Genomic DNA, 16,556 nt, shown 5'->3' with positions numbered 1-16,556 from the left:
TAATTCACACAGGTTTGAGAAACCTGCCTAGGCATCAGCTCCCATTCCCTTCCCCTCCCCCCCCACCTGCATGGGCTCCCTTTACCCCAGGACAAAATATCTTGCTACATAAATCCAGGCACTGTCAAGCAAAGCACTTCCCAAAGCATCCATGACATCTCTGTGAGGTGATGTCAAGCACTCGACCTGCTAGTTCTGCAATTCATTCCGATTCCATTTGTCATACATGTGATCAAAGCTGGAGAACAAAATAAGACACAGGCAATTAAGCAAAGTGTGAACACCGCTGATTTGAGCCAGAGGACAATTCTTTGAAATGCTAATGACAATAATCCAGAACTCATGCCTTGGCCTCACTCTCACTTATGAACTCGGGCATAGAATCCACTCACCCAGTAGATTTGCTTCCTCTGGCTGCTATAAAAAATTACCAAAAACTTAGTAGCAAAACAATACAGACTTATTTTCTCACAGCTCTAGAGGTCAGAAGTCTAAAATCAGTCTTCCAGGGCTAAAATCAAGGGGCTGGCAGGGTTGGTTCCTTCTGGAGGCTCTAGGAGAGAGGATCCGTGTCCTTGCCTTTTCTAGCTTCTAGAGGTCATGTGCATTCCTTGGACCCTGATCTCTCCTTCACATCACTCCAATCTCTTGCTTCCATCCTCGCATTGCCTTCTCATATAAGTTATCACTCACAGGTCCTAGGGATTAGGACATGGACATCTTGGCGGTGAGGGGAATTTCCCAGCCTGACACGCCCAACAAGCAGAAGTCTGACCTATGACAGCTGCGAATAAGAGGAACCCACTTCTCCTTTGCTTAAATGTCAAGGGGTCAAAAGGTGCTCACAAACACCTGCCTCAAATGCAGTTTCTGTGTGAATGGATCCTAAACTGCCAAGCACTACCATTTATGCCTATAGATAGAGAAACACAACTTTTTTGCAATCATATCATCCTTTTAAACTGGGTAAGAATTCAAAGAATTTGCTTTTGCTTTTCAAAAAAACTTATTTTGAAATAATGTCTGGTTTACAGAGAAGTTGCAAGCATATGACAAAGAATTCCCCAATGCTACAAAGAATGCTCCAATAGACTTCGCCAGATTCCCTCAATTTTATCTCATTTATTTTATCAATTTTCTCTGTCTCTCTTTTGCTCCCTCCAACCCACCCTTTCCACCCTCTCTCTCTCTCTCCCTCCACTAAATCATTTTGAGAACAAATTGTGGATATGATGCCCCTTTTTCCCATAAACATTTCATTGTGTATTTCCAGTGCAACTTAGCTTCTAAGTGGGTTTGGAAAACAGAGGGCTGAATTGCCAGTGGGAAAAGTTTTTCAAGGGAGATGTTCTTCTTTAGGTCTGGAAATCCAAAGGAGACAAGTCCTTGTTCTGGAAAGTGGGGAGTGTCACATCTCATTATATTGCAAAAAATTATTTTTCACATAATATTATGCCAAACTCTAGGCACTGAGATTTTTGCCCTTGAGCCACTGATGAGCAAGTACTTATAATACACAATCTCTACCCATCCACTACAGGGAAGCTCAGTGAAACTAGCTACTGAACAGCACAGATGGAAAGAACAAAGCATGGAAAAAATCCTCATGGACTAGTTGTTTCTCCTTGTCTTTTCTATGTCCTAACCTAAAGTGAATTGAAACTCACTCTAGGATAAGAGCTATGCCATAGCTATCAGTGTTCTGCAATTTGTGTATATCCCATAAGCATTCATTTATGATGATTAGTCATTTATGATGATCATCCATTTACGATCCTTATTCATTTATGATTTTCTGCTCAGGTTGCTCTTGGGTTAGATGAAAAAATTCCATTCAGCAAAGATTTATTGAGCACCTACCATGCCCTGGGTAGAGTGGGAAGTAGAAATGAATGGAGGGTCATGATTTAGTGGGAGAGACAGATGCATCAACCACAAAGAGCAAAGCAGCATGAAGTACAGTCTGCGGTGGAGCATGAGGGAAGTGTTCTCAGTGGTAGAAAAGACTTTCTAAAGGAAGGAGGGCAGGGATGATGCCTTGAAGCAGCATTTGGGAAGTCTAGGAGAGGGTCAAGGGTTTTCCCAGATGAAAGAGAAGCCTGAGCCGAGGCACCACAGGATGCAGATGTCCAGCACGTCTAGGGACAGAGGGTGACACATCCAGTGTGGCTCAACAGTGGAGGGTTTGAGTGGAGTTGGGGCCTGAAAAGGAGGTGGAATAAGATCATGAAACCTCTTGACACCATGCCTTATCTTTCCATGGCCTTTATTCTGTAGCTACAGTTGAACTTTCAGAAAACAAATTTCCTTTTCATAGCCAAGTAATTAACATCCCACAAGTTAAATGCTCAAAACCTTGACCTCGTTCTAGCTCGATTAAAAAACTTCTCAAAGACCCTTCCAATCCCACGCCTCTCAGCTCCATGCTGTGATTAATGCATCACTAGTGGAAGGTAGGGCGGGAAAGTCATTGCAAATACACACAGCGGAAAAATACAGATTCACAGCAGGAAAAGTACAACTTTTGTGCAAAGCTGACCCAGACCATCTCATTATGCAGTCGTTGAAACCTGTCTGAAAAGGAGTATGTGGATTTGTCATGAGACCTATGTAAATATATTTCCAAAAGATTATTTTCAAATGGCTCTAAAGTTTAGAAGGAAAAAGAAAGAGATAACCTTTTTAAAATGTGGGAAGCAGGAACAATATTGCTGGCAGCTTATTCATCTAGTTAATGAGTACTCTAAGGGGTCCATGCAGAATAGCACCTCATCCGGAGGAAGCTGATAGGGAGAGGGAGGGAGGGAGGTGGCAGCCAGGCAAAGGTGGGGAAAACAGAGCGCTGACTACATTGAGAGTCTTGGAGGGGATGGAGGAGTAGGGAGGCCAGGGAGGCAGGGACGGGGAGGAAGGAAGAGAGAAGGAGGAGGGTGGAGGTTAGGGAGCGATGATGCTGCCCTACCACCACTCTGGCGCCTTTTGTTTGGCTCCCTTACAGGGGCAGACACAAAGAGGACCTTTCCAATTCTAATGTGCAGGAAAGCCCAATCTGAGAACCAGGAGTAGCTTTTCTGACACCAGGAGCAAAGAAAGCAGCGCGCTTCCAGGCTGTGACTGCCGCACAAAAGCAAATTCTTTGGGAATACCACAGGCACTTAAGAGACTTCTCACCCTAGGAGTAGTTTCGAAATGAAAACTACCCAGACCTTGCAGCAGCCAAGAATTAAACTGATATTAAATAAACGTGGAGTTGTTAAGGCAAATGAAAAGAGTATTAAGCACATTTTTGTCTTAATTGACTTAAACATCTTACACTATCAAGGAGCAAAATGGCAATGCATCTGTGTTACAGAAAAGCGATCTCACCCTCAGTCCCACCAAGACCTTGGCAATAAGAGTTCCAGAAGAATTAAAAAGTCACCCATTAATGGATAGAAGCAGGGATGGGGTCAAGTCTCCTTAAATAGCAGGTGGCATTTATCCCCCTTGAGAGGACCTGTCAAGGCCCCCCTTACCTTCTGAGGTGAGCTAGGTCTGAAGACCCTTGTCAATGCGAAACTCCCACTGCAGTGAGTTTATAGTGCTGACATGGTGCAAAAACTCATGGAGAGTGACTGTCCATCCAAGGCCTGGCTCCTTTTAGGTCCAGTATTGTTCCAAGTGTCAAACTCCCCTCTTACCCGGTATCCTGAAAGCTTGTGCAGCACTAAGTCCTGATACCATCCTAGCCCTGTCCAGGGTGGGGATGGTAGCAGGAAATGCCCAGGAAGCATGGTAAATGTCAAGGGTGTGGCTTCCTGGGAGCCAAGATGTACTGGGTGAGGGAACCAGCAGGTGCGCGGTACACTGGGAGAGAGAAAAGAGAGAAAATTGGAAATGTGATCCTGGAGACAAAGCAGCTGACTGAGATGCTGTAGAGCCCAAGAGAAATAGGAGTTTCTAGACTTTTAGATTTCATAAGCAGTAAATACCCGTAGTAGTAGTAATAGTGATTATTATTATTACCGTATACAAAGTGTTTTCAACTTTTTTCATTTCCCCAGGAAAGGACACAACCTTTTGAACTATTGCTGCTGTTTTCATTTTAAAAAGGAACTTTTAATACTAAAATTATAGGAAGAACATAATATCTGACGTCACGTAAATTCAGATTTGAAGGAAATTTACTTTTTTTCCTTATTTGTTCTTATTTTTTCTCATTTTGTTAAGAACCAGCGAACACTTTGAAGAAAGCCAAAAGTTTACATCTGGAGCTGGAGGGTTCTGTGACTGCACACCAGGCACTCTGCCAGCCCTACTTCTGCCTGTAGTCCTGCAGGTCACTTGCCAGAGGTGGTACTTTCTGCAAAGGGAAAAGCCTAAGGCACCATCATGGGGGTCCCAGGACCTACAGCATTCCTTTATTTAATCCGTTCTTCCGATTGGCCAACTTTCTTTTTTTTATTATTATTATACTTTAAGTTCTAGGGTACATGTGCACAACGTGCAGCTTTGTTACATATGTATACATGTGCCATGTTGGTGTGCTGCAACCATTAACTTGTCATTTACATTAGGTATATCTCCTAATGCTATCCCGCCCCCCTCTCCCCACCCCACAACAGACCCTGGTGTGTGATGTTCCCCACCCTGTGTCCAAGTGTTCTCATTGTTCAATTCCCACCTATGAGTGAGAACATCTGAGTGGCCAGCTTTCTTTTGGGAAAGCCCGAATGCCATACCCCTGCTTGGCGGTGGATATGCTCTAAGCAGTCCTTTGCAAACCCAGAGAAAGGATTAACTGATTGCCTTCCTTTTTCCACTTTGGCTGCCAGGAAGCTCAACATCAAATCTGAGGATCCACATAGCTGCTTCATGGACCCTTTTACATGTATATTGACACATAAATACACTCACACATGCCTCTACAAGCTTTGACTTTTCCATAAAATATTTATATTTTCTCTGATCATGATTTATGACTGTTATTTACATTGTATTTTTAATTTTTTGCAAGCTGCTTCAAATCTTATGTGGGACAAGGGAATAAATAACAACTTTTTAAAATTAGGACTATAGAATTTTGCTAAAGCAATTCATTGACAGGCAATGTCTGTGGCAAACACAATGTCTTTACATAATAAACAAACTGCAAAGCAAAAATTATTTAGGCCACTAGGTTAGACATTAGATTCCAAACTTATATAAGCAAAGCTAATTTTTCCCCCGAAATATGTAATATAGTGGGCCATCAGCTTAATTTAAAATTCACACAGCTTCCAAACAATAAGAGGCACTTTTCTCTTCCATGAACAAAGACGTTTTATTCATACATGAATAAAGCAAAGATTCTTTCTATTGTATCTACATGAAGCAATCCTGCATTTCTATACAAAATGAGGTATTTTGCACCAGGCAGAGCTATATTACAGAGTTGCTGTGCATTCTGGATGAAGTTGTCTGATGATGGCACAAGCATTGAATAACAAAAAGTACTTTGTATCAGCAAAAAAAAAAAAGAATCCTTAAGCCTTCCATGACACTCTCTTCTGTTTTTCCCTCAGCACAAGGCATTGATGGGTGAACACATACATTAATATATTCGCTTCGAATCTAGCACTGGGCATGCTCCCTAAAGGATGGCAAAAGTGTGTGGGCCCAAAGTGAAAGGACTAAATCAAAGAAATGAACTCCACACCAAACATATTTGCGCAGTGTTTTGGTTTAATTTTTCCAAGGGTATAATTTAAAATAGGCTTTGTGAAACTGGTGGGGGTGAGGGCAGGATTCTCTTCAAGGTGATTGTAAACTCTTTCAAGGCAGTAACCGGGTAATTTATACTTATTCTACAGTTAAATTCCTGAATTATTCATATTTCTGAATAATTAGGGAGGCGTCATAAAAATAGCATACTCTTTAAAGATCTTTGCCCTCTTCCTTTCTCCAGAAGTTTAAATCATCTTCTTAAAAGGGTAAATACAGTTCTTGTATCAGGAACCAGTACTGACCAACCTGGTAAATTTAACAGAAACCAGCATTTATCACACCAATAAAACTGGATTTGACATATGAAGTCTTAACCTGAAAACGAAGTTCTTCCTTTCTCCCACTATTGAGCAATAAATTACCGAGAAGTTCTGGTCTACTAAATAGTTAGGAAGAAGTGAGGTTGCAGAAAATATAAACCAGTTTAAAGCCAGAAAGCCACAGCAACCATTTAGAAGCAAACACGAACTTACGAGCTTCCTTCATCATAGTAGTCCTTGTCTATCCCCAGCCTCCGGTCCTCTCCAAAGTTGGTGGGACATCCAAGAACGCGCTCCCCAGATTCTGCCCTCACTCCGTGAGATGAGGCAGGGCATGCCTGCCCATTCCTCCCCTCCACGGCAGGTCAGCCTTCATTCCCCATCTTCTTTATCCAGGACAAGGCTTGACCAAAATGGCCTGTTCCAAAGGCAATTCCCCTGCTCTCACTTTTCTGTCCCATCACTTTCTCAAGAAAAATATGTATTTTTTAAATGTGTAGTTTCTTAATGCACGCTAAAATGCCCGATGTAGGTAAAAACATTCATTCCATAAGCCTTACCAATTGCTCAATGCACAGTAAGATCCTAGGTGAGGAGCGTTACAATCGCCTCTAATCAGTCTCCCTGCTTCTACCCCGGCCCCTCTAAAATCTATTCTCAAAGGAGCAACCAGAATGATCTTTTAAAAATGTAAGCCCAGCAGTGGCTCACGCCTGTAATCCGAGCCCTTTGGGAGGCTGAAGCAAGCGGATCACGAGGTCAGGAGATCAAGACCATCCTGGCCAACATGATGGTGGCCAACCAGATGGTGAAACCCCATCTCTACTAAAAATACAAATATTAAGTGGGTGTGGTGGCACCTGCCTGTAATCCCAGCTACTTGGGAGGCTGAGGCACGAGAATCGCTTGAACCCAGAAGGCAGAGGTTGCAGTGAGCTGAGATCGTGCCACTGCACTCCAGCCTGGCAACAGAGCGAGACTCCATCTCAAAAGAAAAAAAAAAGTAAGCCCATCTTGTCCCTACAATATTCCAGAACTCTGCAATGGCTCCTCTCTTCACTCAGTGTCAGTCTTTACACTAAGGCCCCATACAAACATCTGTCCCCTACTCTATCCCTCCCTAACCAACCTTGACTCCCTCACTCACTGCACTCCAGCCACACCCCTCCATGATCCTCGAACACCTCCAGCGTGTTTCTAAGGCCTTTGCACAGGCTTTCCCCTCTGCCAAGCATGCTTTTCCAGCAGATATCTACATAGCCGGCGTCCTTACCTCCAAGTCTTCGTTTAAATGTCCCCCTCTCAATGAGACCTATGGTGACCACGGTATTTAAAATTGTGCCTGGGCTGGGCACGGTGGCTCAAGCCTGTAATCCCAGCACTTTGGGAGGCTGAGGCAAGCAGATCACGAGGTCAGGAGATCGAGACCATCCTAGCCAACATGGTGAAACCCCGTCTCTACTAAAAATACAAAAATTAGCTGGGCGTGGTGGTGCGCACCTGTAGTCCCAGCTACTCCGGAGGCTGAGGCAGGAGAATCCCTTGAACCCGGGAGGTGGAGGTTGCAGTGAGCCAAGATCGCACCACTGCACTCCAGCCTGGTGACAGAGCAAGACTCCGTCTCAATCAATCAATAAATAAAATAAAGTAAAATAAAATAAAATTCTGCCTGGATCCCATATCCCACCTCTAGAACCCTTGATCCATTTTCTTTTTCTCCAAAGTAGTTACCGTATAATATACTCATTTTGAGCTTACCATATGATATACATGGATTTTGCTCATAGATATATTCCAAGCACCTAGAAATGTGTCTGGTACACAGTGGGTGGGCACTGAATAAATATTTTTTCAATAAATAAATGAATGAGGCCAGGCGCGGTGGCTCACTCCTGTAATCCCAGCACTTTTGGAAGCCAGGGCAGGCAGATCACCTGAGGTCAGGAGTTCAAGACCAGCCTGGCCAACATGGTGAAACCCCATCTCTACTAAAACTACAAAAATTAGCCAGGCGTGGTGACATGCACCTGTAATCCCAGCTACTCGGGAGGCAGAGGCAGGAGAATCACTTGAACCCAGGAGGCAGGGTTGCAGTGAGCTGAGATCATGCCACTTCACTCTAGCCTGGGCGACAGAGCGAGACTCTCTCTCAAAAAAAAAATAATAATAATAATAAAGGAATGAATACCTGGAAGATCCAAGATGAATCACTAAAAAAGTAATTAAAACCAACAAAAGATATCAGTAAAGATCATTCATTAAAAAGAAGTGTACACAGGCCGGGCACGGTGGCTCACGCCTGTAATCCCAACACTTTGGGAGGTCGAGGTGGGCGGATCACAAGGTCAGGAGATCGAGACCATCCTGGTTAACACGGTGAAACCCTGTCTCTACTAAAAAAATACAAAAAAATTAGCCAGGCATGGTGGTGGGCGCCTGTAGTCCCAGCTACTTGGGAGGCTGAGGCAGGAGAATGGCATGAACCCGGGAGGCAGAGCTTGCAGTGAGCGGAGATCGTGCCACTGCACTCCAGCCTGGGTGACAGAGCAAGACTCCGTCTCAAAAAAAAAAGCGTACACAAAAACAGGGTTTCAAACCTCAGTAACAACCAATCAGGAAATTTTTTTTTTTTTTAGCAAAAGAGAATGATTTCTATAAACAAAACCTGTTACGGTAAACAGATGGGGCAGAGCTGCGATGCTCCCCAGCCTTCAGCCACTCCTTGGGAGCCTTTATCGCTGAAGGAGTGGAGGTTTGAAAACCTATGCATCAGAAAACGCATAGGAGAAAAGGGCCAATTCACACCAGAAACAAAAAATTTTAAAAACTTAGAATAAGAATTTGCCAGACCTCTATTGAAATGAAACCTACAAAATTTTTCTGAGGGACATAAAAAGATTCAAAAGTAAATGGCAAGACATGCCACATTCCTAAGTGGGAACACTAATTTCTAACAAGTCACAGACAAATCTACAACACAGCCAAAAATAATTATGTTAATATTAAAGGGATCCTAAAGCTCATCTAGAAAACAAAAATGTAAAAAATGTCAGGACAATGCCGAAAAACAAGAGTAACGTGCAGGAGCAGGCCCTATCAGATGTGTCCCGCAGAGCACAACAACTACAAGTAGGTGTCAGAAAGTGCCAGAATCAACAGAATGAGCAATTAACAAAAGAGAAAGCTCAGAAATACAGCCAATATATAGGATCCCACTTCATAATACGGGTAGCATTTACAGTAGGAAGAGGTCAGATTATTCTGTAAATTTGCTAACCGTATTCATCACATTCAGGGAAAAAAAATGTTATAACCAAAGCTTTAAAAAAATTTCAGATGAATGGTTTAAATATTTTTAAATGAAAACATAAAAATAAAACCACCACATGTAGGTGAATATTTGTGTAATCTCAGAGTAGGGATGCCTTTCTAAACAGGATTTCAAAAGTCAGGAACTATAATGGCAAAGACTAATAAAATCAACTACGAAAAAAACCTACATGTTAAAAAACAAATATGGGAAAAGATTAATAAACCCTATTACAGTAAAATAATTTCTTTTATCAAAAGACATCATTAGGCTTTAGAGAGTGAAAAGATAAACTACAGAGTAAGAGAAGATATTTGTATAGCATATAACAACAAAGGGCTAGTGTCCAGAATATGTAAAGAACTGCTACAAATAAATAAAGACAACTAATTTCTTAAAAATGGATAAAATACTTGAACAAGCATGTCACTAAAAAGGAAATTCAGGCCGGACGCAGTGGCTCATGCCTGTAATCCCAGCACTTCAGGAGGCCAAGGCAGGCAGATCACCTGAGGTCAGGAGTTCGTGACCAGCCTCGCCAACATTTAGTGAAACCATGTCTCCACTAAAAAATACAAAAATTAGCTGAGTGTGGTGGCACACACCTGTAATCTCAGCTACTTGGGAAGCTGAGGCGGAGAATCGCTTGAACTTAGGAGGTAGAGGTTGCAGTGAGCCGAGATCGCATCACTGCACCCCAGCCTGGATGAGAGAGTGAGACTCCATCTCTCAAAAAAAAAAAAAAAAAAAAGGAAATTCAAGTAGTCAATCAATAAATGAAAGAGTGCACAACCTCTTGACTCCCAGGGAATGCAAAATTAAAATCCCAATGAGATATCACTTACATACTCACCAGATGGGCAAAAATCAGAAAGACCAATAATACCACGGATTGGCAAGGATGTAAAATAATGGGAACTTTCACGTCCTGCAGATTGGAGTATAATCTGGCATTATTTGATGAGGTTTGGCCATTATCTAGTAATGTTAAAGAAAAAGTGAAGATGCCGATGTCCTTTAGCCAGCGAGTGCACTACAAGGTCAACTTAGAGAAGCCTGTGGAATGTGCACCAGGAAACATGCCCATAATATTCACTGCAGCAGTTTTCATAATAGTCTCAAACCCAGGACAACACCGATGACCACGAACAGGAGAACAGATACGTATGTAAGTGGTGTATTCATACAATGAATCTCTAGATTGCAAATAAAATGAGCGCTGGCTATATGCAACTATAGGGATATGCCTAATATCGAGATAAGACCCAATTTTAAAATACATGTATAAAATAGGTAAAAATATGCAAACCTAAACTATCTTGTTTAGAGATGCATACATATTGGTGGTAAAATTGTAATGATAAAGAAGGAAATTATTATTATAAAAGTCAGAATAGTTATGTTAGTTGTCTATTACTCTGCTAAAAAATTACCCCCAAACTCAGCAGCTTAAAACAGCTCACATGGCTGTTATCTCACGCAGTTTCTGAGAGTCAGGAATCCAGGAGCAGCTTAGGTGGGTGATTCTGGCCCAGGATTTCTCATGAGCCTGCAGTTAAGCTGTGGGCCAGGGCTGCAGTCATCTGAAAGGCAGAGGATCTGCCTCCCAGCTCACCCACATGGTTGTTGGCAGGCCTCAGTTCTCTAAGGGCTTTTGGAAGGAGGGCCTCAGTTCCTGGATACCGGGGCCTCTCCACAGGGCTGCCTGAGTGTCGTCAAGACATGGCAACTGGCTTCCCCCAGAGTGATTCATCCATGAGAGAGTGAGCAAGCCCAAGATGGGAGCCACAGTCTTTTATAACCCAATCTGGAATACAACATCGCACTGTTTCTGTATATTCTATTGGTCGCACTGGCCCACCTTGGAACAATCCTGGGTGGGTATGAAGACCAGAAGGAGAGAATCACTGGGGGCCATCTGTGAAGCTGGCTACCACAATTGTGGCTTCTTCTAGAAAGTTGGGCATAGATTGTATCAGGAAGGAACACACAGGGAACTTCTGGGAAACTGGCAAGATTCCATTGCTTCAACTGGTGGTTGTACAGTTGTTAACTTCATAATCATTTGATAAGCTGTACATTTATATTCTATGCACTGTTCCAAGGTATGTCAGATTCCACAATAAAAACGTAAAAAGAAAAACCTATTTAAATTTCAAATGACTAACAGGAAAATTATTTGCAGCAATTCGACAATCATATGTAAAATGTATAAAGAGTTCTTAGAAACCAGTAAAAGACAAACACCACAATGGAAATAAACAGTGATTCATAAAAGAATTAAAAGGTGGATAAGAATGTAACATTTCATCTCACAATTAAAGAAATGACAATTAAAATAGTGATTTTAAAATACTATATTCAGCCTAGTGTTAATAAAGACATGGGGAAATGCGCCTTTTCTTACACTATTTGAGGGAGAAATTATCTGGAACATAACTTGGCGATGCATAACAAAAGTCCTTAAAATATCCAGTGCTGACTCAGCAACTTTATTTCAGGATTACTTTTTTTCCCTAGGAAATTGCCAAAGACAGTAGCACAGAATCACTAATTATACATTGTTCTAGTTGGGAACACAAATGTGAAATCAAGTTTCCAGGACTGGAATCCCAGCTGCAATACTTATTTTTCACTTTAGGTATATTATTTTGTGCCTCAGTTCCCTCATCTGTAAAACTGGGGGAGAACAAAATACCTACCCCGTAAGGTTGTTGAGGCTTAGGTGAAATAATGCATATAAACATCTTAAACTCATAATCTGAGACAGCAAACACTCAATAAATTTCACTTATTGTTATTAGTGAAAACTGGTAACAACTTAAATATCTAACAATTAGAAAACTTTAAATAAATTGTAGTTTTTCCATATTATACAACTTCTAAAAATTATGATGTGGATCCATATTCTCATAGAAAAATCATCACAATATATTAAGTGAGAAAAGCAGGTTAGAAGCCAGTACATTTCATTTTTGCATTTTTATGAACATATGTAAATGTAATAATATTGGGTATATATCCAATATTAAGAGTAACAATATAGGGTAATGAGATGTGGATAACAGTTTTGCTGGTGGTTTTTTGTATTTTATAATGTTTTTTTCTTTTTTTGTATTTTATAATGTTTCATCAATGAACATAAGTGATGTATGAAATACATGATTTATTTAAAAACAATCCAAAATAATGAACAGAAAAATCAAGAGGTGTGAAATAAATACAGTGGACTTTCATTATTAAAAGTAATTATGTTCTATTAAAAGCCACTACAAACACTCAATTAATGAATACTGAACCATTGCTCCTAAAGGAAATAGAAGTTAGGTTCTTTCAAGCCTCTGGTCACATAAGCCTCTGGTATATATATTGGGAGCTCATCCAAATTCATAAGAAAAAAACTAATACTCCAAAGGATGGCTAGGCCAAGGGTGTGAACAAGTCATAACAGGAGAAACACAATTAGCAAATAAACCCATGAGAAAACCTTGAGCCCCCAGCCTGGGCAACATAGTGAAACCCCCTCAACAAAATATATGTATTTTTTAATTAGCCAGGCAAGGTGGAGCATGCCTGTACTCCTAGCTACTCAGGAGGCTGAGGGAGGAGGATCCCTTGAGCCCCAGAAGGTCGAGGCTACAGTGAGCCATGATGGCACACTGCACTCCAACCCAGGTGATAGACTGAGACTTTGCCTCAATACAAAACAAAAACCCCAGGCCCATTCATTTATTCATATCCATCCATTTATTCATTCACACAGGCATATATAAGGTACCTCCAAAAGTCACAGATACAAGGCATTACATCCTATTCCTGGGTAATTTGGGAGACACATGCTGAATCCAGGAAGTATGCACACGTGGGTGTGGAGGCCTCGGCCTCTCCTGTCTCCTACTGTGGGTGGGATACCTCCACTCACCATTACACCAAACATGGCAGTGGTTACTCACTTGCCCTGGGGCACCCAAGGAAGGTGCTGCTGATGGTGATCACCAACTCGGCAAACCCTTAGGCTCTGGGATGCTGATCCGCTGTCCATTTCCACACACTGATGAGGGGAATGCATCCCACCCAGGTGAAGGTCATTCCTAAAAAGTCTGTAGACCCTTGGGTAAAGGCTATAATTTAGACACATAGTTGTCACTTGATCTAAAGACACACCACTTCTTCTAAGAACTTGAAACTATTCTTCTGATTAAAACTTTATATTATTCCTAGAGTGAAGCTTAGTCTTGGTTATACCTGTCTGAATGTGAAATAGCTGCAATTAACATTATTTATAAAACACCTATTTTTCTAATGGGTTATTAGGTTCCCTTCCTTTCCTGCAAACTGTGTCTAAAAAGAAGCCAGTAAGTCTTTTTTTTCTTTTCTTTTTTTTGAGACGGAATCTCACTCTGTCGCCCAGGCTGGAGTGCGGTGGCATGATGTCAGCTCACTGCAACCTCAGCTTCCCGGGTTCAAGCAATTCTCCTGCCACAGCCTCCAAGTAGCTGGGATTACAGGTGTGGGCCTCTACACCTGGCTAATTTTTGTATTTTTAGTAGAAACAGGGTTTCACCATGTTGGCCAGGCTAGTCATGAACTCCTGACCTCAGGTGATCTGCCTGCCTAGGCCTCCCAAAGTGCTGGGATTACAGGCGTGAGCCACTGCACCCAGCCAGAAGCCAGTAAATCTTAAAGGCAAGAAGGGTTTTCTCATGTGTAGGACGAGTAACTGAGATCTTGCACCCAAACACGAAATTGAATAAATTGACCTTTCAGTGTCTGTTCCTCTTGCGATGCCAATAATCTCACTCTGAATTCCACCTCTAACCTTCCCAAGAATATTAAACAGGATCATGATTAGCAAAGGGAATTTTTTTTAAATATATAAGTCAGGAAGAGAAAAATGTTAGCACAGAAAGTACTTTTATGATGTACTAATCATGAATCTAAAATTAAAGTTCAGCTTATGTATGAAATATGGCATAACTTGAGTCGCTTAAGTTTCATAAAATGTAAAAATACAGTTTTTCCAGACAATAATTACAAATTTAATCCATTTACTTTCATAAATGTTATAAAGTTGTTAATTATGCTATAAACAGTGTAACAAGCTGTTGGCCTTCAAAGAATTGCAGAGTTCTTGCTTATTTCTGATAAGCATACAACTTTGGAACACTAAAAACGTCAGGTGAAAACAATTTAAAAATATAATATTTTCTGGTCTAAAGGTCATTAAAAGCATAAGCCAATTCCAAAAAGTACTAAGTTTCAGGGATACACAGAGGACAAGAAATATTCCAAAATCCATGATTATAACTCTTTTCAAAGGGCCTTCGTAGCCCCTGTCTTCTAGAAAGCAGAGCCCGAGACAAGGATTAAAGTGACAATTTATTGTGCGAGTTACTAGCCCAGGTAAGAGTGAGGAAAGAGAGCAAGGCCAAGAAAGAGTCCAAGGATTGTGGGATAAAGGGTGTAACTGCACCAGCCACCTTCAAAACACTCCAGGCCACTAGGCAACCATGTCCATCAGCACACCGGACTTTCTCACAAAGAGCTGCAAGAAGAAACTGCACCTCAGAGTAGTCCCTGGAAGGGAGAAAGGAAGGGAAATTGATCTGCCCAGTGCCATCCTATCCTCTCCCATTGGTTGAGGTTCACCATAGGAGCCAAAGACCCAACACTTCCGGGTTTCACCCTCCAGCCCTTGGACAGCCACTCGAGAAGCCAGGTTCTAGGCCCCCAATGCAGCATCTCACCCAAGACCAATAGTGGAGAGAGATATGGCACTTGATAGGGCTCAGCATGTGGGGCCTGAAGGCCACATTGGTCCAGGGCTTCATTGATGAACTCCAGCCTGCTCTGTGAACTCCAGCAAAAGTGTGGTCCGGGAAGAGGGGCTCAAAAGGAGGCAGCAACAAAACACACACCTAAAAATGCCTGCAAAGCTTATTACTATCAATATATCTTATTACTATCATTATATCCAATACAGAAGCATTGACACCAGGGATTTATTTCCTTATCTCAAATTTCCAAGTAGTTCGCCCAATCAAGGACAGCACAATAACCACCTCAGGTCAGCTGTGGTTACCCCATAAAATACTGGGAACCACAATAAAGTCAAGCTCCATGTTACTGACTGGAGATTAGGGCCTGGACTCAGAATGTGAGTGCACCTTCCAGAATGATTCCATCTGAGCTGGCATTTGTTCAGCCCCTCATTATCATCAAATAGCTGCCACATCAGCAGTCAACAGGACTTCCCGACCCTCTCCCTTTCAGATGATCTTCTCCAGTGTCATGTGTCCATTTTTCAGCAGACTGGTACCTTTTCCTGAAATAATGCAGCTTTTAAATATCAGGGAGTTGCGAGGCTCTTGGGTTCTAGTGTCATCTTCCAGGATTTTATTCAGATCTCCTCATTCTGTGGCCAGGCCCTACTGTGTAATTGTTGTGTATTTGTTTGTTCTAAGGTCCTGTGTACTGATAGGATTTTATATACTTTACTCAGGTTGCAGTGACACTAGTTAAAACACTAATAATCATTTACTCAGGTTTACAGTTGGCACAATTCTCGGTATTTACCATTCAGTGGTCATTTCATTGACTATTAATCACTGAGTCTCCAAGCCTGGAGCAGTTACCACACATGCTAGGCACTCAGTAAACATTTATTTAGTGAATGACATTTGTTTCTTTGATCAGATTTGGATCTCTGTGAGAACTGGATGACTAATTGAACATATGATTACACGTATGACTACACTTTAAAATGTTTAAGGGAAATTAACAGAATTTATAAATAGTATTAATTGAGGGATTTAATTGGTTAAATTTATAAATTAAACACTGTTCAAAGATAAGTGCCTTTCTTTTTTTTTTTTTTTTGAGATGGAGTCTCTGTCGCCCAGGCTGGAGTGCCTTTCATTTTAACATAAATATCAGATTTACAAATGAATTTATAAAATTTGTAAGTTATTTTTTAAAGTTTAATGTAGAATCAGTTTTACATTTATGACTTTAATGAGTTAAGTATTTAATAAAATACTGCTAACTGTAAACCTCCTTTTCCAGGCCTTAGACATTAAAAAACCTAGGGGTAAGAAAGATAGAGCCCCTGATCATGAGAGGCAAGATATGTATAAAACGCTGTAAGAACACGGAGAACAAAGCAACCCATCCCCCACCTCAGCAGGTGGGGGAAGAGGAAGGAAACGGGTAAAAATTCCTAAAATTTTTACAGCAGCAGG

The 16,556-nt window shown here is 41.4% G+C and overlaps 1 protein-coding gene across 24 annotated transcripts in view; it reads right to left on the bottom strand.

The window, feature by feature from the left end:
• The window catches only part of SH3GL3 (SH3 domain containing GRB2 like 3, endophilin A3), a 186,480-nt gene that overhangs the window by 118,231 nt on the left and 51,693 nt on the right, over positions 1 to 16,556 (bottom strand). For 4 of the 24 annotated variants that reach the window (NR_136712.2, NM_001324184.2, NM_001324186.2 and 1 more), the window contains one exon: positions 3,516 to 3,846. The exons of the other annotated variants lie outside the window; for them this stretch is intronic. The gene's annotated coding sequence lies outside the window, so the exon portion shown is untranslated. Of the gene's footprint in view, positions 1 to 3,515; positions 3,847 to 16,556 lie in introns of those variants that run through there. 24 annotated transcript variants of the gene reach the window in all.

Source organism: Homo sapiens, chromosome 15 (assembly GCF_000001405.40).
Source record: "Homo sapiens chromosome 15, GRCh38.p14 Primary Assembly".
NCBI lineage: Eukaryota > Metazoa > Chordata > Mammalia > Primates > Hominidae > Homo > Homo sapiens.
The sequence above is the reverse complement of the archived record's forward strand: the minus strand, read 5'-3'. Positions and strand labels throughout refer to the sequence as shown.